This window comes from Homo sapiens, chromosome 9 (assembly GCF_000001405.40).
Source record: "Homo sapiens chromosome 9, GRCh38.p14 Primary Assembly".
NCBI lineage: Eukaryota > Metazoa > Chordata > Mammalia > Primates > Hominidae > Homo > Homo sapiens.
The window spans coordinates 102,965,961-102,990,535 of record NC_000009.12 but is presented as its reverse complement, the minus strand read 5'-3'; the positions used below and the strand labels follow the sequence as shown (position 1 = coordinate 102,990,535).

The 24,575-nt window shown below is 37.4% G+C and overlaps 1 annotated feature.

The window, feature by feature from the left end:
* Positions 15,162-15,362: a silencer, noted in NCBI's record as "peak7310 fragment used in MPRA reporter construct". NCBI's record gives its function as "represses an SCP1 promoter by STARR-seq MPRAs in K562 erythroleukemia cells {active_cell/tissue: K562}" and the evidence as "EXISTENCE:reporter gene assay evidence [ECO:0000049][PMID:32103011]".

The window sequence follows — 24,575 nt, the reverse complement described above, 5'->3', positions numbered from 1 at the left end:
TAGATGAATCGCTATTGGCATACACAGATGATACTTATTTTTGTCTGTTGATTTTGTATCCTGCCACTTTACTAAGTGTATGTGTTACTTCTAACAGTTTTTGATAGAGTCTTTAGGGTTTTCTGCATATATGATCATGTTGTTTGCAAAGAGGGAAAATTTGACATCTCCTTTCTAATTTGAATGACCTTTATTTCTTTCTGTTGTCTGATTTCTCTGTCTAGAACTTCAAATAAAAGGGGTAAAATTGGTATCTTGTTTCAGATCTTAGAGAAAAATCTTTTAAGTTTTCCCCATTCAGAATGATATGAGCTGTGGGTTTGTCGTATATGGGTTTTACTGTATTAAGGTATGCTCCTTCTATACCTAATTTGTTGAGAGTTTTTATCATGAAAGGATGTTAAATTTTATCAAACCCTTTTTCAGCATCTATTAAAATAATCACATGGTTGTTGTCCTCGATTCTGTTAATGTCATGTGTCACATTAATTTGAATATGTTGAACCACACTTACATCCCTGGAATAAAACCCTCTTGATTATGGTAAATGATCTTTTAATGTATTATTAAATTTAGTTTGCTAGTATTTTGTTGAAGATTTTTGCATCTATGTTTATGACGAATATTGGCCTGTAGTCATTTTGTTGTTGTGTACTTGCCGGCCTTGTAGAATTAGTTTGGAAATATTCTCATCTCATCACTTTTTTTGAAATAGTTTGAGTAGAATTGGTTTTGGTTCTTTAAATATTTGGTAGAATTCATCAGTGAAGTTGTCAAGTCCTGGGCTTTTCTTTGGTAGGAGACCTTATAAATGCTTTGATCTTGTTACTCATTATTGGTCTGTTTAGGTTTGGGATTTCTTAATGATTCAATATTGGTAAATTGCATGTGCCCAGGAATTTATTCATTTCTTCTATGTTTTGCAATTTTTTGGCATATAGTTTATTACAATAGTCTCGTACGGTCCTTTGTATTTCTGTGGTTTCAGTTATTATGTCTCTTTTTTTAATCTGACTTAACTTGAGTCATCTCTCTCTCTCTTTTTTAGTTAATCTAACTAAAGCTTTGCCAATTTTGTTTATCTTCTCAAAATATCAGCTTTTTCTTTTATTGATCTTTTGTAGCGGGTTTTTTTTTGTCTCTATTTTATTTATGTCTGCTCTGGTCTTTATTATTTCTTCTACTTATTTTGGTTTAGGTTATTCTGGGTTTCCTAGTTCCCTGAGGTGTAATTTTAGATTCTAAATTTGAGATCTTTCTACTTTTTTGAGGCAGTCATTTATTACTATAAACTTCTTCCTTAGAACTATAAAACTTCTTTTGCAGTATCCTATCGATTTTGGTATGATGTTTTTCCATTTTCATTCGTTTCACATTTTTTTAATATCTTTTCTTTTCTTTCTTTCTTTTTTTTTTTTTTTTTTTTGAGATGGAGTTCTGCTCTTGTTGCCCAAGCTGGAGTGCAATGGCGCTATCTCAGCTCACTGCAACCTCTGCCTCCTGGGTTCAAGCAATTCTCTTGCCTCAGCCTCCCGCATAGCTGGGATTACAGGCATGCACCACCATGCCCAGCTAATTTTTTGTATTTTTAGTAGAAACGGGGTTTTACCACATTGTCCAGGCTGGTCTTTAACTCCTGACCTCAGGTGATTCCCCTGCCTTGGCCTCCCAAAGTGCTGGGATTACAGGCATGAGCCACCACACCCAGCCCTTATATTTTCTTTTTAATTCTTTTGTTGACCCATTAAGCATATTGGTTGATTTCCATGTACTTTTGCAGTTTCCAAAGTTCTTTTATTTATTGATTTCTAGTTGTACTCCATTGTGATCAGAAAAGATACTTGATAAGACTTCAATGTTTTTAAATTTGTTAAGACTTGTTTTGCGAACTAACACATGATCTCTCCTGGGTAATGTTTCTTGTGCTTTTGAGAAAAATGTGTACTCTGCAGCTATCAGATGGAATGTTTTGTAAATGTCTGTTAGGTTCATTTGGTCTAATGTGAAGTTTAACCCTGATACATCTTTGCTAATTTTCTGTCTGGATAATCTGTACAATGCAAAAAAAAAAAAAAAAAAGGTGATGTTGAAGTTCCCCACTATTATTGTATTGCAGTCAATTTCTCCCATTAATTCTGTTAATATTTCTTATATACTTAGGTGCTTCAGTGTTGGGGACATATATATTTACAAGCGTTATATCCTCTTGTTGTATTGGCCCATTTATCATTATATAATGGTTTTATTTGTACTTTTGAAAACCATTTTTGGACTTAAAGTTTATGTTATCTGATTATGATATGCAGTAGTATTACAACTACTGCACTCTTTTAATTTTCATTTACATAGAATACCTTCTTCCATTCTTTCACTTTCAGTATATGAGTGTCTTTGTAGGTTAAATGAGTTTCTCATCACTTGAGAAACACATTAAATTATAAAGAACAATGTCAAAAAGCATTTCCTCTATTTTTCTTCTAGTCAATATACAATTTCAGGTATTACATTTCAATCTTTCATTCATTTTAAGTTGATATTTTATATAGGGTGAGACAAATGTCCATTTTCAATATTATGCATATTCAGTTTAACAAATAACATTTTTTAAAGAGACCATATTTTACCCATCGCATATTTGTGGTACCCAGGTCATAGATTGGTTGAGTTTATATTAATATGTGTGGCTTTATTTCTGTGTTCCTTATTCTGTCCCATTAGTCTATATGTCTTTTTTTGATGCTAGTACCATGCTTTTACTTACTAAAAGTTGGTTTTATGTATGTATACATACATATATTTCATATTTTTTGTTTCAACAGCCTTTGGGGTACAAATGGCTTTTGGTTACATGGATGGATCCTATAAGGCCGAATTCTGAGATTTTAGTGCACCCACTAGCCAAGTAGTGTATGCTGTACCCAATGTGTAGGCTTTTATTTCTCACCCCCATCCCAATCTCTCTCTCCCAAGTCTCTGGAGTTCATTACATCACTCTTTATGTCTCTGCGTTTTCATAGTTTAGCTCACAATTATAAGTGAGAACATGCAATATTTGGTTTTCCGTTCCTGAGTTATTTCACTTAGAATAATGGCCTCCAGCTCCATCCAAGTTATTGAAAAGGACATTATTTCATTCATTTTTATGACTGGGTACTATTTCATTTTATATATATATATATATATATATATATATCTCACATTTTCTTTACCTGTTCAATTTGTTGATGTGCACTTAGGTTTGTCCCATGTCTTTGCAATTGTGAATTGTGCTGCTATAAACAAGTGTGTGCATATGTCCTTTTCATAAAAGGCCTCTTTTCCTTTGGGTAGATACCTACTAGTGGGTTTGCTAGATTAAACGGTAGATCTACTTTTAGTTCTTTAAGGACTCTCAATACTGTTTCTCATAGAGGTTATGCTAATTTAAACTTCTACCAGCAGTGTAACAGTATTCCCTTTTCACCATATCCATGCCAACATCTATTGTTTTTTGACTTTCTAATTATGACCGTATTTATAGGAGTAAGGTGGGATCTCACTGTGGTTTTCATTTGCATTTCCCTGATGATTAGTGATGGTGAGCATTTTTTCATGTTTGTTGTAGCTACGGTGGGTGGGTAGTTGCAATACCCAGTGGTGGGCAGAGATCGCTGTCTTGATGAAGATGGCTGCAGGAGCCCAAGTTAGATGCACTGAAGTCTTATCAGGGTGAAAGGTGAGAGCTACTTCAGCTCCTCTGCCAGGCCAGCAGAAAAGCTATTCACTTCATGGTCTCACTTCTGCTGCAGTGTTCTGGCTATTACAGATCAGACAGGCACCTCTTTTCATCTATAGAAGTGTTAATGCTCCAAATAGAAAGGAACTGTGACTGCCTGTAATGCAAGCCTGAACCTGGAGAGTGCTCCTCCTGAGAAGCACTCACCCTGAAGTGTTTCAGGAAGGCTGCCTGTAAGTGCATCCATGCTGAGCTCCTGTGGGTTCTCCTGTGTCTGCAGTAGTGGTCAAAGGGTGAAAGACGAACCCTTCTCTAAGACCCTTCATGGTACCAAGGCTGCCTGACTGCTAGGGTAGAGGTGCAGACTTTCCTTGCTGAGCCCAGCACTGCCACTGTGTCTCTGCTATAAGAAAATTCCCACCAATGAAATGATCTGGGACCCAAGCCCTGCCATCCAGATTATTTGGTCCCGTGGGAGTTCCCTTGATGTGGTGCTCCCTCCCTTCTCCTGGCACTAGGAGTTCCTGACAGCCAGACTACAGTGACTGCTATTATTATTCTGAGTCAAGCCACCCAGTGGGGCTGCCACACCCCAGGCTGGTGCTGGGAAATATCTGCAAGGGATCTGGTGGTGTAACCTATCCTCAAGACTCCCAACAGTGGGAAGCAGCACCAATTCTAATAGGGGTGGCAGGGGAGTGATGTACACACTTTGAGATTCCTTGGTTGTAGAAAAGCTTAGCGTGCTGGCTTTCTTGAATGCTGGTTATAATAGTAGTGAACTTATCATGTAGACAGACCCAGAACCTTTGGTTATCTAGGGATTTGTAGGCAATAGTGATAGCTGAAGTTGCACACTCATTTTGTCCTTTCTAGGCACGGTGTCATTCTACCCAGAGATGCTGTAATTGACTGTGTAGGTTGGCTTCCAGAGAGAAGGTGGTGCTTGCAAAAAGCACCAGCTGCAGTAGTAGCAGTGAGATTTGAGCATACCCTTGCTTGCCCAGGGTGGGTATTGTGGTTCCTCAGGCAATGAGCAGAGCTATAAATCTCCCCCAATTTTATATCCTTTGTGTTAAGCTACCAGTGCAAGTGGAGGGCCAGATGGTGGCTAGGTCAGACAGCTCTGTAATCTGACCCTCCACATGCCAGGTAAGATGTGGCTCCTGTGTGTGTCAATGGCTAGTTCTCAGGCCTCTCAGGTAACGTTCCAGAGGGGAGTATAACTGTCTCTGCTGCACAGAAGAGTTTGCAAGGAGAGTGGAGAGGTAGCAGGCAGCAGTAAGTCTCACCCAGCTCCCAGGCGTTGGAAAGGCAAATCTCACTCCTGCAATGCTTCACTAGTAGCCCCAGGTTAAGATTCAGGCAGTCTGCACACAGAACTCAGACCTGCCCAGGCCATAAGCTTATAGCTACTATGGCTTTCAGGACATGCCCCTCCTTGTCTGACTACAATGCTGGGTGCTTAGCTTCTGTGCTTTTGTCTGCAGCACAATTCCTGCTCCCTCCCACTTTTCCCCTTTCAGATTCTGATCAACGGAGTTCATACCTACTTGAGATTATATCATGAATTTCAGCTGGGTGCTTCTTTCAAACTTCTACCCCTGTCTAAGCTAGTTGGCTTACTTCTCTGAGCTCCCTTCTGACATAAATAAGGAATGGCTTCCCTTGTTCCACACTGGAGATTAGGAATGCCTGCAAGGCATTCCTGCTGCTGCTTGTACTTTTATATTTTTCACTGTTCCCAAAATCAGCTCCAGTTCTGGGTAGGGCTATGGCCTTCTGTCATGACCACATTTTCTTGAGTAATAGTACTTAGACTCTTTCTATCCATGTTAATCTCACTTTTTTTTTTTTTTTTTGAGACAGAGTCTTGCTCTGTCGTCCAGGCTAGAGAGCAGTGGTGCAATCTCGGCTCACTTTAACCTCCGCCTTCCAGGTTCAAGTGATTCTCTTGCCTCATCCTCCTGAGTAGCTGGGATTACAGGCATGCGCCTCCACGCCCAGTTAATTTTTGTATTTTTAGTAGAGACGGGGCTTCACCATGTTGATCAGGTTGGTCTTGAACTCCTGACCTCGTAATCCACCCATCTCAGCCTCCCAAAGTGCAGAGATTACAGGCGTGAGCCACCGCACCTGGTCATTAATCTCTTTAATAAAAGGCCACAGCCTTGATTTTCTCTCCCAAACATCACATTTTATTCTTCATAACTTAACCAAGCAGAAAATTGTTCAAATATTTCCGTTCTGTTACCATTTAATTATAAGCTTCATCTTTAATTTCTTTATCTCTCCTCATACTTTACTATAAGCAGTTAAGAGAAACCATGTAGCACTCTAAATGCTTTGCTTACACATATATTTCTCCTGCCGGATATCCTACTTAATCACTCTTTAATTCTGCTTTCAACAAAGCATTAGTACATAAACACAATTCAGCTATGTTCGCTGCCACTTTCTAACAGGGATGACTTTTCCTCCAGTTTCCAATAAGACATTCCTGATTTTCAGGTAATATCTCCTTAGTATGACACTTTTCTGTTCATGTTTTTACTAGCATTCTCTTCACAATCACCTAAATAATCTGTACCAGCATTCTGTTCAGAATTACTTAGATAACCTCTAAAACTGAAGCTTTGTCTACAGGTCTCATTCTCTGAGTCTTCATTGGAATATTCTTTAATGCTCTGTTCACAGCAATACAGGATTTTCCCGCATTGACTTTAATATTGTTCAGCCTCCATCCATTACCCGGTTCCAAAGCCACTTTCACATTTTTAGGTATTTGTTATAGCAACACCTCACTTCTCTGGTACCAGTTTCTTAGACCATTTATGCTGCTATAACAAAATATTTGAGACTGGGTAATTTATAAAGAACAGAAATGTATTGGTTCACAGTTCTGGAGGCTGGGAAGCAACCTGCATCCATCAACAGATGAATGGATAAAAAAAAAAAAGGTACATATATACAATTGAGTATATCCAGCCACACACACAGACATACAAATGAGATTCTGTCATTTGCAACAACCTGAATGGAACTGGAGGTCATTATGTTTAGTAAAATTAACCAGGCACAGAAAGACAAACTTTGCATGTTCTCACTCCTTTGTGGGAGCTAAAAGTTAAAACAATTGAACTCATGTAGATAGAGAGTAGGATAGTTACCAGAGATTGGAAAGAGTAATGGGGATGGTGAGGGATGTTTAATGGGTACAAAATTATAGTTAGATAGAATGAATAAGATCTAGTATTTGATACTACAACAGGGTGACTACAGTCAACAATAATTTATTATACATTTAAAAATAACTAGAAAAGTATAACTGGATTATATGTAACACAAAGAAAGGATAAATGTTTGAGGGGAATGAATACCCCATTTTCCATGATGTGATTATTAGGCACTGCATGCCTTTATCAAAACAACTCACATACTCCATAAATATATACACCTACCATGTACCCACATAAATTAAATTTTTTTACCTACCATGTATTCACATGAATTAATTTTTAAAAAAATAATACTATCATCTCAAAAGATGGAGAAAAAAGTGTTTCATAAAACTTAACATACTTGCATGATAAAAATTCTCAACAATTTCGGTATAGAAGAAATATACCTAAACATAATAAAGACCATATATGGCAAGCTCACAGCTAACGTAATAGCAAAAAGCTGAGTGCTTTTCTTCTAAAATCAGGAACAAGATAGGGCACCCACTATCTTCACTTTTATGTGACATTATACTGGAAGTTTTAGTGAGAACATTTAGGCCAGAAAGAGAAATAAAAGGCATCCAAATAAGAAGGAAATAGAAAAATTGTGTCTTTCTGGAGATTGTATGATCTTATAAAGATAAACTATATAAACTATACAAATTTTATATATAACGTATTTATAAAATATTACATATGTATATTCTAGCATATAAAAATCTTATATATAGAATATTATCCTGTTTCTTGCTATGAGTCTGTTCAGGTTTTGAATTTCCTCATGGTTCAATCTTGGTCGGTTGTATGTCTAGATATCTGTCCATTTCTTTGAGATTTTGCAATTAGTTGGCATGCAGTTTATCATAGTAACCACTGATGATTTTTGGAATTTCTGTGGTGTCAGTTTTAATGTGTGTTTTTTCATCTCTGATTTTATTTATTTGGATCTTCTCTCTTTCTCTCTTAGTATCACTAAAAATTTAACAATTTTGTTTAACTTTTCAAAAAACCAACTTTTGTATCATTGATGTTTTGTATTGTTTTCTTCATTTCAATTTTATTTATTTATGCTCTAATCTTTATTAGTTCTTTTCTTCTATTAATTTTGGGCTTGGTTTGCCTGATGTATAAACCTATAAACTACATTACAATAGCAGAGTGAAGGAAAAATAATATACAAAGTAATTTTATAATTGCAGATAAAAACACTTACATGGCATACATTACTAGAGTTTACATGAAACCCTCAAAAGAGTATTGAGCTAAGCAACAAAACAGAGAATATGAAAAGACACAGAAAATATATTTTTATTATTCATACAGGTAAAGGACTTTAACATTTTCTTACTGTGGAAGGATTAGTCATAAACATCTCTGATGTAAATTAATGTATGTGTTGGTCCATTCCAGCTGCTATAGCAAAATATGTTAGACTGAGTAATTTATAAACAACAGACATTTATTAGTCACAGTTCTACAGACTGGAAAGTCTGAGATCAAGGTATCAGCATATTCTATGTGCTGAGGGCCCATTCCTCATAAATGATGACTAATTACTGGGTCCTCACTTGGTGGAAGGGGCAAAAAGACTTCCTCAAGTCTCTTGTATAAGGCTTAATAAGCTTTAAGCCTTGTACTAATTCAATTCATGAGGACATAATCTCATTCATGAAGGTGCCACCCTCATGACTTAATCACCTATTAAAGGCCTCACCTCTTATTATTATCACATTGAGGACTCACGTGCAACATAGGAATTTTGGAAGAACACCAACATTCAGACCATAGCATTCATCACTGAAATTCAAAATTATATATTCTCTTATATAAAATACAATCATTCCATTTCTACAGCCCCCAAAGTCTTAACTTGGCCTGGCATCAAAGTCTCATCTAAATATCATCTAAATCAGATTTGGGTGAGACCAAATATATGATTAATCCTAAGGCAAATTGCCCTCGAGCTGTGAACATGTGACATCAAACAAGTTGTGTACATCCAAATTACAATGGTAGGGCAGTCACAAGATAGCTATTTCCATGCTAAAAGAGAAAAGTGAAAGAGATTAAAGGGATGAAAGACCTCTACCAAATACAAAACTCAGTATGGCAAATATTAAATATTAAGGTTCCACAATATTCTTCTTCAACTGGAAGTCCCACCTTCTGGACACATTGGGGTGGGGATTGGGTCCCCAGTCCTCCAGGTGGACTTACTCCCGTGGCTTTGCTGGTCACGGCCCACATGTCAGCTCTCATGGGTTGGAGTGGCTTGCCTGCAGCTCTCCCAGGCTGGAGTTTTTTGCCAAAGGCTTTATGGGTCTGGGGTCACTGCAGCATCCTTGGTCCCACAGTTCTGCTAGACTTTGCCCTGCCCTGTGCTCTCTGCAGTATTGTTACAATAATATGCATCTTTTTTATTTGGGAATATTTCCTTATCACATATCAGAATCACTTGGAAGATTTGTTTAATACTGATTGATAGAACCTGTCTCCAGAGTTTCTGATTTATTGAGTCTGGGGTAGAGCTTGAGAATTTTCATTTCTAATGACTTGCTAGATGCAACTGATGCTCTCAGTGAAGAGACCACACTTTGAAAACTATTGCTTTAATCATACTGTTAGGAGTAGATAATGGCTTAAATGGTGATTTAATGCTGTAAGAGATTGCCCAAGTAGAGGAATCATGATCACTATATATAAACATTTATCAGTAATGACAAATCATACTTTTTGTTTTAAGAAAACTGATAATGTTTTTCATATTCTGCACCACAGAAAACATCCACATTCAAAATTCACTCATAATTTTGAAGTACTATTTTATAAGGTGAAATCTAGGAAAATAAAATACAGGGAATTGTTATTATGCCCTGAATACATTTCATACTACATTTTATATATCTGTTAAAATCCAAAGAATATAAAGGTGATTGGATAAACATTTCACTCTTGATGACTTGTATCTATAAATAATAGAATTATTACATAATTTTGGCCACAAAATAATTGAAACTGCATAGCTAGAAGGTTGCTTTCCTTCCTTTGTGCTTAGCTGCAAATTTAATTAGCTTCACTCTCTTTTTCTACAAAGTTTTTCTGCTTAAGTGATAGTAATTAAACTCTCAGTGAAAAGAACTGTTAGAATGTATAAAAGAACATAGCATATGTGCAAATTCTGCCATGCCAAGCACAGGAAAGCTGTGATATAAATGGCAATGATAGAACAAAATACATTGCTTCAAGGATAATTGATTTTAGCTAGTACCTGAAATTCCTTTCCGACTATTTCTTTCAACTCTGGTATTAATATACATCTGTCTTATTTGTTTGGGGATGATTCTTTGAGTGCAAATATCTGTTAAATCCAAGTGTCTTTTGTACTATGAATGTCAAATCATTGTATTTCTGAATATGGGTTTCTGCAGAAACCACTTTGGACTAGATGATTTGTTGGAATATTAAAGATGCCCAGTTCATTTTTTCACATCTATAACAAATGTTTTCTTAAAAAAAAGTCTCTTGGCCCATTTGTGATTTGCAAACATTATAATCATGCTATAAATTTATATGTGTGTGTGTATATATATGTTTGTGTGTGTGTATATATATATACACACACACAGAGATATATAAATTTATAGCATAATCTGCAATTTAAACTAAGTTTGTCCTTCAGAAATCAGCAAAGTAATAGCAAAAAAAGCGAGACCTATTTCATGTTGTATATTAATAGAGAATGTAGGTCTTTCAAAACTACTGTGCCTTGGCTGGGCGCGGTGGCTCACGCCTGTAATCCCAGCAATTTGGGAGGCCGAGACTAGTGGATCACTTGAGGTCAGGAGATCGAGACCAGCTTGGCCAACATGGCAAAACACTGACTCTACTAAAAATACAAAAATTAGGTGGGCATGGTGGTGGGCACCTGTACTCCCAGCTACTTGGGAGCTTGAGGCAGGAAAACTGCTTGAACCTGGGAGGCAGAGGTTGTAGTGAGGCGAGATCGCGCCACTGCACTCTAGCCTGGGTGACAGAGCGAGACTCCATCTCAAAACAAAACAAAAAAACTACTGCGCCTTGAGAATATTCTAAGAGAAGAATGGAAAAAGTGACCTTTCAAAAGGTTTCTACTCATCTGAGTTTCTTCAGGTTCAGTATTAGACTTACTTAACTTAAAATTGGGCACTGTAAAGTTAACATTTTTGTAATTCAAAAACATGGTTTATGGGATTATAATGTGGATGAAATTAAGATTAGATGGAACAAGACAAACTATGAAGGACAGAATTCATAATAGCATATGGGGATAATATTTACCCTTTTCATTTTTCATCTCATGTCCAGCAAAATGCCAGAGGAACAACAATACTAATAATAATATTAGTACTAATAATAACAATAATAAACTCCATGCAGGTAAGCCCTAAATACAAGCAATGACTTCCTTATGATTCAGAACACTTTCATTATAAATTTCAGCATAATGTTAGTTTACAAAGAACAGAGATGTCTTGTAAACTCCTTTCAACCATCCTAGAAACACTGAAGACTACTTCCTGGGAACTAATCTTGAGTAAGATGCTGACTATAGACTGCTGGTCTAAAACAGCATGAGTGCTGATGTTGAATAGGAGTTTTCCTGAAGTCACATAACAAAGGGCAAATAATTTTTAATTTGTATTTTTATCTATAAAATATAATAAGATATTAAAATTAACATATTAAAGTCCAAATCATACACATAATTATATGTTCTTATTAGAAATAAAATTATATTGATTTATTAAGAGTTAATTAAATGTTAATAATTATTGCTTTGTATTCAGTGGTTTATACCTGATGTCTCTTTGCTTATTGATTCTTCAAATATGTCATAATAATTTATGACCATTTTGTTCAAAACAACAATAAAAGTTAAACCAATGAAAACTGGGTTAAAAGAGATGGCTTCTGTCCTCCAGCAGGTGATACTTTACACATGAAAATAAACATAAAAACATACTTTAATATGGAGTGTGAAAAACAGTGTGATATGGTAGATAAGAGTGAATATGGATATATGTTTAACATAACTTTATTCAGAGATTTAACATGTAAACTTATATAAATAATAATTGTTTTACTTGCAATGTATAAATTATTCATTCAAATTGTTCTCAAGTGCAAAACTTGGCCTTCATTATTATAACATTGAATTTGGAAAAATTATAAAATAATTGTTTATGATGAATTGTGTATTTATATCAAATATGCAAATTCTATGGTTAACTCTTAAAAACGAATGTAATGAAAAGACAGTACAACAGATGTCTAATTGCTAGTTCATATTTCTAAAAGGAATTTATTTTTGCTGAAAATGCTAGTTTTACATCTATACACAAAATTTAAAACATTATGTAGAAAGAATACGCATGATGTATTTATCTAGGATGAAAATATTTTCTGGAGATTTGAGAACCAAGTTTTAATTTTGTTTCCAGCTTACTCTACCATTTTACAGTATTACTGAAAAATGTATACAATTCTAATGATAATATGTATTGTTTTGTTTGTAGATCTATATGGTAACAGAATATTTGAGAAGCTATGAAGAGGGTTAAAATATTTATAAGTACATTATCTGAAAATTATACACTTAACAACACAATCTTGAGGACATATAGTTGGAAAATTTATTTTTTATTATTTTAGAAAATTTTTCTCTTGTCTTATACATCTATGTTTTTACATAGATGAGGGATTTCTTTCTGTCAGGTGAATAATTCATTGTGTTGTCTTCTCCTCAAAGTAACATTTAGCTTGCTCTAGGATTCTGGCTTTTTGTTACCTAACTTTTAACCTTGTCTGATAAAACTAAAATTATGCCAGAGTGAAGATTTGAATGTTTTGCTTAAAATAAAAGTATTAGTTTGATTATATCATATTTTATTGGTAATTTTCATACCTACGTTAGGTATCTACAAACAAACTACTCCAACTTATTTTCTTGTATTTCTTGTTAAAGTTATCAAATTAATTAATTCCCCGTTTCATGGTATTGTTACTACAAAATCCATCTTTCTATTAATACAATCTATATGCTTGTTTTCATCAGCACCTCAACACACTGTTCCCCTAAGAGGCACTATAACACAATTTCCAGATAGGGAAGGTTTTAATCTGTTTTATTGATTGCAGTATCTTTAGCTCCAATTATGTTCTTGACATACATAGAGCATATAGTGAAAAAATAAGTACTGATTACATGAAGGTCACTGGCCTCTCAGCAACCTACATTGACCCTTTTACGGTTTGAATAGTTGTTCCCCCCAACTCCAAAACTCATGGTGAAATTTAATTGCCATTGTAATGTATTAATAAGTGGGATACTGAAGAGGTTATGAAGGCTCCACCCTCATGAGTGGGGTTGGTGTTGTTATAAAGGGATGAGTTTGGCCCCATCTTGCTCTCTCTCTCTCTCACCCTCTCTTTGCGCTCCTGTACGTCCATCATGTGATGAAGCATCAATAAGGCCCTTGCTCAATATCTCAGCAACTCAATATTAAACATCTCACCTTCTAAAACTGTGAGCCAGTAAATTTCTGTTCATTATAAATTACCTAGTTGCGGATATCCTGATATAGCAGCACATAATGGACTAGGACAAAAATTGGTATGGTACCAGGGAATTGGGGTGTTAATATAACAAATACTTGAAAATGTAAATTTGGCTTTGGGATTGGAAATGTGCTAGGGTAAAAGAATTTGGAGAAACAGGCCAAAAAAGCCTAGATTGCCATGAAGGAAGCATTAAGGGCAATTCTAATGAGAGCTTAGTAAAAGAAGAGAGCTTCCAGGAAAGTCTGAAACTTCTTAGAGATTACTTAAGCGGTTGTGATCATAATGCTGGTAGAAATACAGGTAGTAAAGGCCATTCTGGTGACATCTTGGACAGAAGTTAGAAAAGTGGTGTTGGAAGTTAGTGGAAAGGCCATCCTTGTAATAAAGTGGCAAAGAACTTGGCCAAATTCTCATTGTTCAATTCCCACCTATGAGTGAGAACATACGGTGTTTGTTTTTTTGTCCTTGTGATAGTTTGCTGAGAATGATGGTTTCCAGCTTCATCCGTGTCCCTACAAAGGACATGAACTCATCATTTTTTATGGCTGCACAGTATTGAACAATGAGAACACATGGACACAGGAAGGGGAACATCACACACCGGGGACTGTTGTGGGGTGGGGGGAGGGGGGAGAGATAGCATTAGGAGATGTACCTAATGCTAAATGACGAGTTAATGGATGCAGCACACCAACATGGCACATGTATACATATGTAACAAACCTGCATGTTGTGCACATGTACCCTAAAACTTAAAGTATAATAATAATAAAATAATAAAAAAAAGAACTTGGCTAAATTGTGCTATAGGGCTTTATGGAAGGCAAAATTTAAGAGTAATGAACTTGGACATCTAGTTGGAGAAATATCTAAGCAAAATGTTGAAAGGGCTGCCTGGCTTCTCATAATTGCATATAGTAAAACGGGAGAAGGGAGAAATTATTTGAAGATACAATTTATCTTCAAAAGGTAAGCAGAACAAAAATTTGGAAAATCTGGAGCTTGGCCATGTAAAGAATAAAAAGATCTGTTCAAGAGAAAAAAAAGAATGTGGCCAAGTGACCCTTTGATAAGATTAGTATGGAGAGAAAGAAACTAGGAGCTATTCATTAAGACAATGGGATAATGAGCCTGAAAGTATTTTGAAGATTTTTGAGATTGCCCCTCCATCACAGGCTCACAGCACTAAGGCCTTGAAGGCAAGGTTTCCAGGGAGGTTCTTGTAGGACCTTAGAGTTTGTTGCCTGTGTCACCTCAAATGTATGTTCTTCTCCTTCTGGTGCAGCATAGCTTGGCAACCCCAATCATGGCTCAAGTGGACCTGGGTGCAGCACCAGTCACCACTCTGGAATATAGAAGTCATATAAACATTGGCGATGTGCACGGGCTGCTAACTTTGCAGGCCTGCAGAGTGCAAAAGCTGTGGAAGCATGGCAGCCTTCAGCTACATTTCAAAGAATGCTGCAGGGATCAGCTGCAAGGACAGAGCTGTCAAAGACAGTCCTCCCTAGGTCCAATGCCTAGTAGGGCCAGGGGAGGGGGATGGGTCTCTCTGAAGACCTCAGAACTATAAAACTGCTAGTGAGCAACATGAGCCTGGGAGAGCTGCAGATAAAAGACTCCTGCATATCAGAGTCGCTGTGTGGGCTGAGCTGAGTAAAGCCACAGGCTGGGGCTTCCCAAAGTCTCATGGCTTTGGGAACGCTAGTGTGTCTGGAAGGTGGAATGTGGAGTCAAGGGAGATTATTCTGGAGCCTTAAGATTTAATATTAGGCCAGATGTGGTGGTTTACGCCTGTAATCCCAGCACTTTGGGAGGCTGAAGCAGAAGGATCAGTTAAGCCCAGTTTGAGACCAGCCTGAGCAACATAGGGAAACTCTGTCTTGACAAAAAAATAAAAATTAAATATTAACTGGATATGGTGGCACATGCCTATGGCCCCAGCTGCTTGGGAGGCTGAGGTAGGAAGATTCCTTGGGCATTGGGAGGTTGAGGCTGCAATGAGCCATGATTACACCAGTGCACTCTGTCCTCAATAATAGAGTGAGACTCTGTCTCAAAAAAACAGAAAACAAAAAGACAAAAAGATTTAATGTAGCGTGCTCTGTTGGGTTTTGGACTTACTTGGGACAAGTTATCTCTTTCTTTTTGCTTATTTATCCCTTTTGAAATGGAAGTATCTGCCCTGTGTCAGTCACATCACTGCAGTTTAAAAGTAAAGAACTTGTTTGATTTCATAGTCTCACAGCTGGAGAAAAGTTCACCTTAGGATGAGTCACACCTTGAGTCACACCCATATCAGATTTAGATGAGACTCTGGATTTTATACTTTTGAGTTGATCCTGGATTGAACTCAGACTTTTGGGATGGAATGAATGTCTTTTGTACATGAAAAGGACATGAATTTTGGGGGTGCCAGGGTCAGAATAATATGGTTTGAATTTTTGCCCCCCTCAAAAACCCATGTTAAAACTTAATTGCTATTCTAATAGTATTTAAGAGGCAGAACTTTTAAGAGGTAATAAGGCTATGAGGGCTTCACTCTTAGAGGTGAGATTGGTGCTGTTATGAAAGGGTGTACTTAGCCCTATGCTGTTCTCTTTCTTGCCTTTCTCTTTGCCTTTCTGCACTTCCACCATGTAATCATGCAGCAAGAAGGCCCTGGACAGAAGTTGTTCCCTTAATATTGAATTTTCCAGCTTCCAGAAGTGTTTAAGTCAATAAATTTCTTTTTATTATAAATTACCCAGTTTCAGGTGTTCTGTTACAGCAGCAGAAAATAGACTTAGCCCTGAATTCATAACCTTTTAACTACTACTGAATTCTCATCTGTATATGCCACTTTATTCAAGTCCATTTCACATCTGAAAGTTAATAAAAGTGTGTATTTTCCTACATTTTCATATATTTTAAACACAGAATTTGGGTAAAATGCTTTCAGTTAGTCAATAAAATTAAATGAAAGTTGCCTCGGTTTTAGGATTTATTTGGCTTATCTATTAAAAATAATACATATGAAAGTAGAGTTAAAAGGATTTTCTAGAGTTAGAATTTAGAAGTGGATCACTGATGGAAAATAATATTTGAGAATTTTTGTTATTTGAGAAATGTTATTAGTAATTTGAAAAAAATGAATAATCTCAGGTCTGCATAGGATGAATTAATGGTATGCCTGCAACATTCTGATTCATTAGAAAATAAGAATGTTGAATGCCTAATAGGGCCTAACAAAAAGACACTGGAGTTATCTAGTGAGTAGGCATACACTGGCTAATGTGTGATATGCTGAGGACCAAGAAGAATCGCTATAATTATTGTTACATTAACTAAATAAAAATGAGAAAAACATTAAAGAAGTATCATGTCAATTCCTTGTTTTCGAAATTACTATTAAATAGGAAAATAAACTAAACACTTATCTTGCCTTTTTATGAAAAACTACAATTCCTATGCACTTGCTGAGTAATTTTTTGAAGAAAAACAAAAATGACAAAATTATAACCACCTGCAATTATGTTTAAAATAACATATATTAACAGCTGAAAAGAGAATTCAGGTCTAAGGAACTTACAAAATACTTTTTTGGTCGTTTTACTGCAATTATTAACAGCTTTATTTATGTTTCCAGAATTAGTTAATATAATACATACCCGATGAAATGAGCAATTTTCTCTAGGAACATTGAAAAATAAGTTATATTCTCAGAATATAATAAAAGAAGTTATACCATAGAGTTTTAATCAAGAATCTCACATATAAACATATATCCTAAAAAGATTATAGCAATTATAAAACAGCTTTCCACTGTGACATCAACTCTATTCCCACATAGTGATTTCATGTCATTTCTCTCCATTAGCTATCCATAGCTCATAACTTACAATTAGACTTGGTAAATAATGTACTGTGCTTATTCAATTCTATTCACAGGCTTTTATAAGTGTTGTTAATTGTTATACTTGGAATAAACACTGGTTAAGATGGGAAAATATTCTCTCAAAATCCAGCATTGTCACGTGATTGAAAACAAATGATGTATTTCAAAATAGTTTTTAGGAATATCAGTCACTTATCCCAGATCATGCCAAAGTAGTTAAGTCTCTCAAATAATCGTAGTCTAAGAGTGATGACCCCTCAGTGAATAGCTTTCCATATCTACCCTCCACTGAGTTGGTGCTACCAAGAAGTGAGTTAACCATGGCCTTCTGGTGTGTTATTTTCACCTTATTTGGTGAAATGCTCTTGATGCATTGGAATGCCTTAATAAATTGACCAAATAACATTGTTGTTTTCTCTCTTCCCATAACTAAGAAGGGGGATGCATTATAAGGTAAAAATAATGTAACAAATATAACAATATAGTAAAAAAAATAACTAGGGATCATAGGTCCTGTTTAACTGGAAGAAATTTAGATATATTTAATTCTAAGTTTTTTTTTAACCTATGATGGCTCATATTTCACTACTATGAGACAAGGGAAAGATCAAGCAAATGTGTTTCTAATATTTCATTGCTATTTCAACTTGAGAACTATAATTTTATTTTTAAGATAATATGGTTTGAATTTCATTTGAAATATTTTTCTGTTAGAAGAATTGAAAAGATACTAAATAGTAAGCTTCATAGTCTCTCATACAGAAAACCTTAAATGAAATAGAATGAAATATAAACATCTTCACACTAATACTCTGCCATCTTCCTCATCAGTCTACCTTCCTAGGACCTCATGTACAATTCCTTCAACTCAGCTACATTTTCATCACCTCTCAATTTAAGTCAACCAAATCCCATTTCAGCTACAATTGTATTTTTCCTTCTTTGATTTTTATTACTTTTATTATCATCAATGGCTTTATCTGACATCAGTCTCCTACTTAGGCTTCTTTAGGAACTTCAAAACACTCAAAGCTGGTAAAACAATTAGAACACACACAGTCAGTTGTTTCTTGGCCTACATTTTTCATTCCAATAAGAGATTAATCCATGTAAGAGCTTTTAGATAATTATAACTTAATTGATGTGGAAAATATTGTGTGTGCATAAACCACAATAGAAGGGTACAATGGAAGTATGCACTATGACCACGTCACTCCTCCCCTCCCCCAGGCTGACACGGCACCATACAGAGATGATTCTCCTGAGCGCACAGTTTCTATAGTGGGAAAAGAGAACTAGAAGTGAAATTCAGCTTCCCTAATATTCAGAGATGCTTCCTATTAAGTCCATTCCTGTCTCCACTCATGAATAATACAGTGGGTAACAACACAATTAGGCTGTTTGGGGTCAAGTAGAAACAAAGCAAAGTTGTGGAACTCACAGTGACTAGTGCATGTATCTTAGTGGAAGCTCTATGTATCTGCCAGTGGTAGTGTCCAGTTAGAGGTATCAGTTAAAGGCAGAGCTCACCTGCAAAACCAAACTAGTGGCTCCCACAAACAATGGAAAACTCCACCTGTTTGAATATCTAGACAGCCAGTGTCCATGCCTAAGCTCAGATCCTACTACAATGCCTAGCCGAGGGAGAGATGCCTACCACAGTGCATTTTTTTTTTTTTTTAACAGAGCACAGGGGCTAGACCTGCCCTACCTAGGAGTTTAAACAACTCTGTTCACCTCCAAAGCCCACCTTGAGGGCCAACCCAGGCAGGGAGGCAAACTTCCAATTTCCATTTCTACCAAACATAGAAGCTAGTCTTATCTGTCCTAACCAGTGACTCCACCCAACCTTGAGGCCCAGCCTGCAACCCTGTCTAACTGTAGAACTCAAAAAGCAGTACCACATGGCCTGGAAATATACTCTGTGGCCTGGCCTGAACAGAGGCAATCACAGTGCCCAGCCAGCAGCTTGGCCAGATTGCAGAACACATCCAGTATTCTCATCAGACAGTGGAAGCCAGCAAACAATGCCATCCAAACTCAGAGCCAAGGCAGTGGCCCAGTAATCCAGAGAATCAGAAAGCAAACTCTGCTTGCCTGGGATTGGTACCAGCTGGTCCATCTAGAACCACAAGCTAGACTATGTAAGCGAAGGTCTAATCCTGCCCAAGAACAGGAAAAGGTGGAAAAGGTGGCTGTCTGCTCAAATGTGTGGAGAGCAACAAAAAGACATAAGGATTATGAAGAATCAGGGAATAATGACACCTCTAAAAGAAACTAATAAAGCTTCAATAATGAATCCTAAAGAAATGGAGATATATGAAAAGACTGACAAATAATTTGTAATAATTCTCCTAAAGAAGTTCAATGAAATACAAGAATATACAGATACAAAATTAAATCTATTGTTAAAGAAATAAGAAATTTGACAAAGAAACAATAAAAACAATAAAAAATCTAGAGATGAAGAATACAATGATGGAACAGAAAAATGCACTTGAAAGCTTCAACAGCTGGCTCAAACAAGCAGAAAAAATACTTAGGAGCTTTAAGACAGACTAATATTATCAAGTCAGAGGAATAGAAAGAAAACAGAATGGAAAGGAAAGAAGAAAGTCTTTGGGAATTACGGAACACTATGAAGAGATCTAATTTTAATGTTTGTAAAGAAAACCAAAAGATAACAGGGGTAGCTACACTTACATCTTAGTCTGTTTGTGGCACAGTAACAAAATACCCAAGATCAGGTAATATATAAAGAACATTTTTTTGTTGTTTTACTGTTCTAGAGAAGTCTGAGATTGAGATGCCAGCACTTTTCTTTATCTGGTGAGAGTTGTTCTCTGTTTCCAAGATGGTACCTTGATGCAGCATCCTCCAGAGGGAAGAAACCCTGTGTTTTCACATGGCAGAATGTGAAAGGCAAAAAGGGATAAATTGCCTCCATCAGGTTTTTTTATAAGAGCATCTAATCTCATTCACTAGGTGAAGAGCTATGATGACCTAATTACTCTTAAAATCTTACCTCTAAATACTATCACATCAGGTGTTAAGTTTTAACAACTGGATTTTTGAGTAGACACATTTAAACCATAGCAACTTAGAGAAAATAGACTTTAAGTAAAAAATCATAAAGACAGACAAAGGGGTCTCTTTATAATGATAAAGGTGTTAATTCATTAAGAAGTTAAAACAATTGTAAATATATATATACAAGACATTGGAGCCTCTAAATATATAAATATTAGAGGATCTTAAGGAAGACATAAATTACAATAAAATTATGGTGGAGGACACCAATACTCCACTTTCAAGAAAAGGTAGATCACTTAGACAGAAAATTAATAAGAAAACATTGGACTTAAATGGTAATTTAGACCAAATGGATCCAACAGACATACAGAACATTCCACCAAATAGTAACAGAATGTATTTTCTTGTCAAACACACATGGAACATTCTCTAAGATAGATCACATATTAGGCCACAAAACAAGTCTGACCACATCAAGAGAACTGAAATCATATCAACTATCTTTTCTGATCAAAATATCATAAAACTAGAAATTAACAACAGCAGAAATCTTTCAAAAATCACAAATATGTGGAAATTAAGCCTGAACAACCAATGACTCAGATACAATAGCAAAGACTTGGAACCAACCGAAATGCCCGTCAATGATAGACTGAATAAAGAAACTGTGGCACATACACACCATGGAATACTATGCAACCATAAAAAAGGATGAGTTCATGGCCTTTGCAGGGACGTGGATGAAGCTGGAAACCATCATTCTCAGCAAACTAACACAGGAACAGAAAACCAAACGCCACAAGTTCTCAATCATAAGTGGGAGTTGAACAATGAGAACACACGGACACAGGGAGGGGAATATCACACAGCAGGGCCTATCAAGAGGTGGGGGGCTAGGGGAGGGATAGCATTAGGAGAAATACCTAATGTAGATGACAGGTTGATGGGTCCAGGAAACAACCATGACATGTGTATACCTATGTAATAAACCTGCACGTTCTGCACATGAATCCCAGAACTTAAAGTATATATACATATAAAAGAAAAAGTAGTTCAGGCATTGAAAAAAAAAGCAAAAATGAAATTAAAAAATAAATCTTGTGACAAATGAAAATGGAAGTACAACATACCAAAACTTATGGGTTGTAGCAAAGTCCTCAGAGGGAATTTTATAGGAATACATGCTATATCAAAAAGAAGAAAGATCTCAAATAAACAACTGAATTGTATACCTCAAGGAAGTAGAAATAGAAGAACAAACTAAACTCAAAGTTCGAAGATGGAAGGAAATAATAAAGGTCAGAGAAGAAATAAATGAAATAGAGGCAACAAAACAAGAGAAAACCCAATGAATGCAAGAATTGGTTTTTCGAAAGGATAGACAAAATTGACAACCCTTTAACTAGAATAAGAATAAAAGAGAAGACTCCAAAAATCAGAGAAATGAAGGAAAATAAATTATAGCTGTTATCACAGAAATATAAAATATCTTAAACTTTCCTATGAATAATTATATGCCAACAAATTGGATAACCTCGTAGAAGTGACGGCAGCAGCAGCCTGACTGGAGAGGCCACCAGCTTCTATGGGGAGACCCAGCTGGGGCTGCACTCTTCATGGAGCCAGCGGGAGCTGGGATCAGGTGGGAGCTGCAGGCACCCAGTTGCAGCTGCAGACCCAGGCATCCCTGTCCTCCCTGGGTCCTGAGAAGCCCATCTCCCCCCACAGACTCAGAAGTGCCTGCTCCCACTCCATGGCCTCTCCTTGCTCTTGGTGCCTGCTCTGATTTTGGAACAAGGTTGAGGCTGAGCCAGGGCACTGTCATGACCCGTCTGGGTGTGCGTGTACTTAGGGCAACACTGATATGTCATCCCCCTGCCACCTTGGCCCCCTCCAGACTTTGGGTGCTGACAAATATGAGAGTGAGGCTGAGGGGGGAGGGGGGCTTGGTATGGGCCTTCAGGTGCCTCTTGGCAGGAACAGCCTGGCTGCTGTGGACAACATTACTGATGGTGGTGGGAGACAGACAGGCTCCTGGGCAGACAGGGGCAGGTCCCTTGTGAAGCTCCACCTTCAAGCCAGGAAAGACCTGATGCATGAGGGCCAGGCATTTCCAGGTGGAGTCATGGCCTGGAGTGAGAAGTGAGAAATTATGGTGCTTTTTCTAATCCTACCCATGGCCACCCATGGACCAATCAGCATGCACTTCCTCCCTGCTGAGCCTATAAAAAATACCCGGACCCCGCCAGATGTACACAGACATCAGGACTACCAGCTGAAAGAAGCAGCTACCCAATTTGGGTCTCCTTCGTTAGGATGACCTGCCTGAGGAAAGCAGCTACCCACTCTGGGTCTCCTCTCCACTGAGAGCTGGACACTCATCAGGATGACCTCCTGTGGAAAGGAGCTACCCAGTGCAGGTCCCCTGAGAGCTTTTCTGTCACTCAATGAAGATCCTCTCTGCCTTGCTCACCCTCCAATTTTCCATGTACCTCATTCTTTTTGGATGCAGGAAAATAACTTGGTACCAGCCGATTGGCAGAACTGAGAGAGCTGTAATACAAACAGGGCTGAGATACCCCTCTCTGTTCACCACATTGCAGCCAATAAGAAAGAGAGAAGAGCTGAGGCCCTCTGGGGATTCCAGACCTATGGGCTCTCCAAGCCAGGGCTTTAACACCCTCTTTGGGGCTCTGCAGTTTCTAGTCTCTCTAAGCATTCAGGTGCCACCACATTCCCCTTGTCCAGATGCTGGTGCCCACAGCGGAAGCTGTTTGCTATACATCTGGTCTAGCTGCAGCCTCACATGGAGCCAGTGCCTGTGCCAGTGCTTGGAGCTGCCTTCCCCACCACAGCAGCCAGCATACCTGCCTCTGTGCAGTGGCCAGACCCCACGCTCCCTCACTCACACACCCCTTGCTCCTGGGTACCTGGCTCGTCCTTGGTAGGTGTGGGATCCAGGCCAGTAGCATGAGCCAAGCGCAACGTGCCACACCGAATTGGTGGAACAAGCCCAGTGGACACAATAAATACTCAAGCTGAAGGTTCCACTGGCCAAAGGAGTTTCCGGCTGGTGAAGTGACACCCCAGGCATCCTGTAACAGAAGGGAATAAATTCCCAGACATATAAAATCTACCAAGACCGAATCATAAAAAATAGAAAATAGAAACAGACTAATGAGCAAAAATGTTGACTCAGTAATAAAAAGTATCTCATCAAAGAAAAACCCAAAAACTGATGGCTTCCTTGGTGAATACAATACATTTACAGAAGAACTAATACCAATCCTTCTCAAACCAAAGCAAAGCTGGAAGCATCACGCTATCTCATTTCAAACTATATTACAATGCTGTTGTAATTAAAACGGTATAGGACTGGCATAAAAACACATTGTGCAATGAAGAGACTAGAGAGTACAAAAACCACTTCTTTTAATGGTCCATTATGCCAAGATGATCCAATGGAAAAAGAACAATCTCTTCAATAAAGGATTTTGGGAAAATTGAGTAGCCACAGGTAGAAGAAAAAAAAACTGGACCCTTATCTCAAACAATATACAAAAATTAACTTAAAATAGATTAAAGAATTAAGCAAATAGGGCACTTTCGCTCATGCCTGTAATCCCAGCACGTTGGTAACTGAGGTGAGTGTATCGTTTGAGCCCAGGAGTTTGAATCCAGCCTGGACAACATGTCAGAACCCCATTTCTACAAGAAATATAAAAATTAGCCTGGAGTAGTGGCATGTGCCTTGCAGTCCCAACTATATAGGAGCCTGAGGTGGGAGGGTGGTTTGAGTCCAGGAGGTGGAGGTTCTAGTGAGTTGAGATCGTGTCACTGCACTCCAGCCTTGGCAGCAGAATAAAACTCCATCTCAAAAAAAAAAAAAATTAGCCCAGCGTGGTGGCATGCACCTGTAGTTCCACCTATTTGAGAGGCTGAGGTGGGAGGATGGCTTGAGTCCAGGAGGTGGAGGTTGCAGTGAGCTGAGGTCATGCCACTGCACTCTAGCCTGGGCTTTGGAACCAGACCCTACATCAAAAAAAAAAAAAAAAAAAAATTTAAACACATGACCGAAACTAAAACTAGTGGAGAAAATGAACAGAAACAGCTACATGTAATTGGG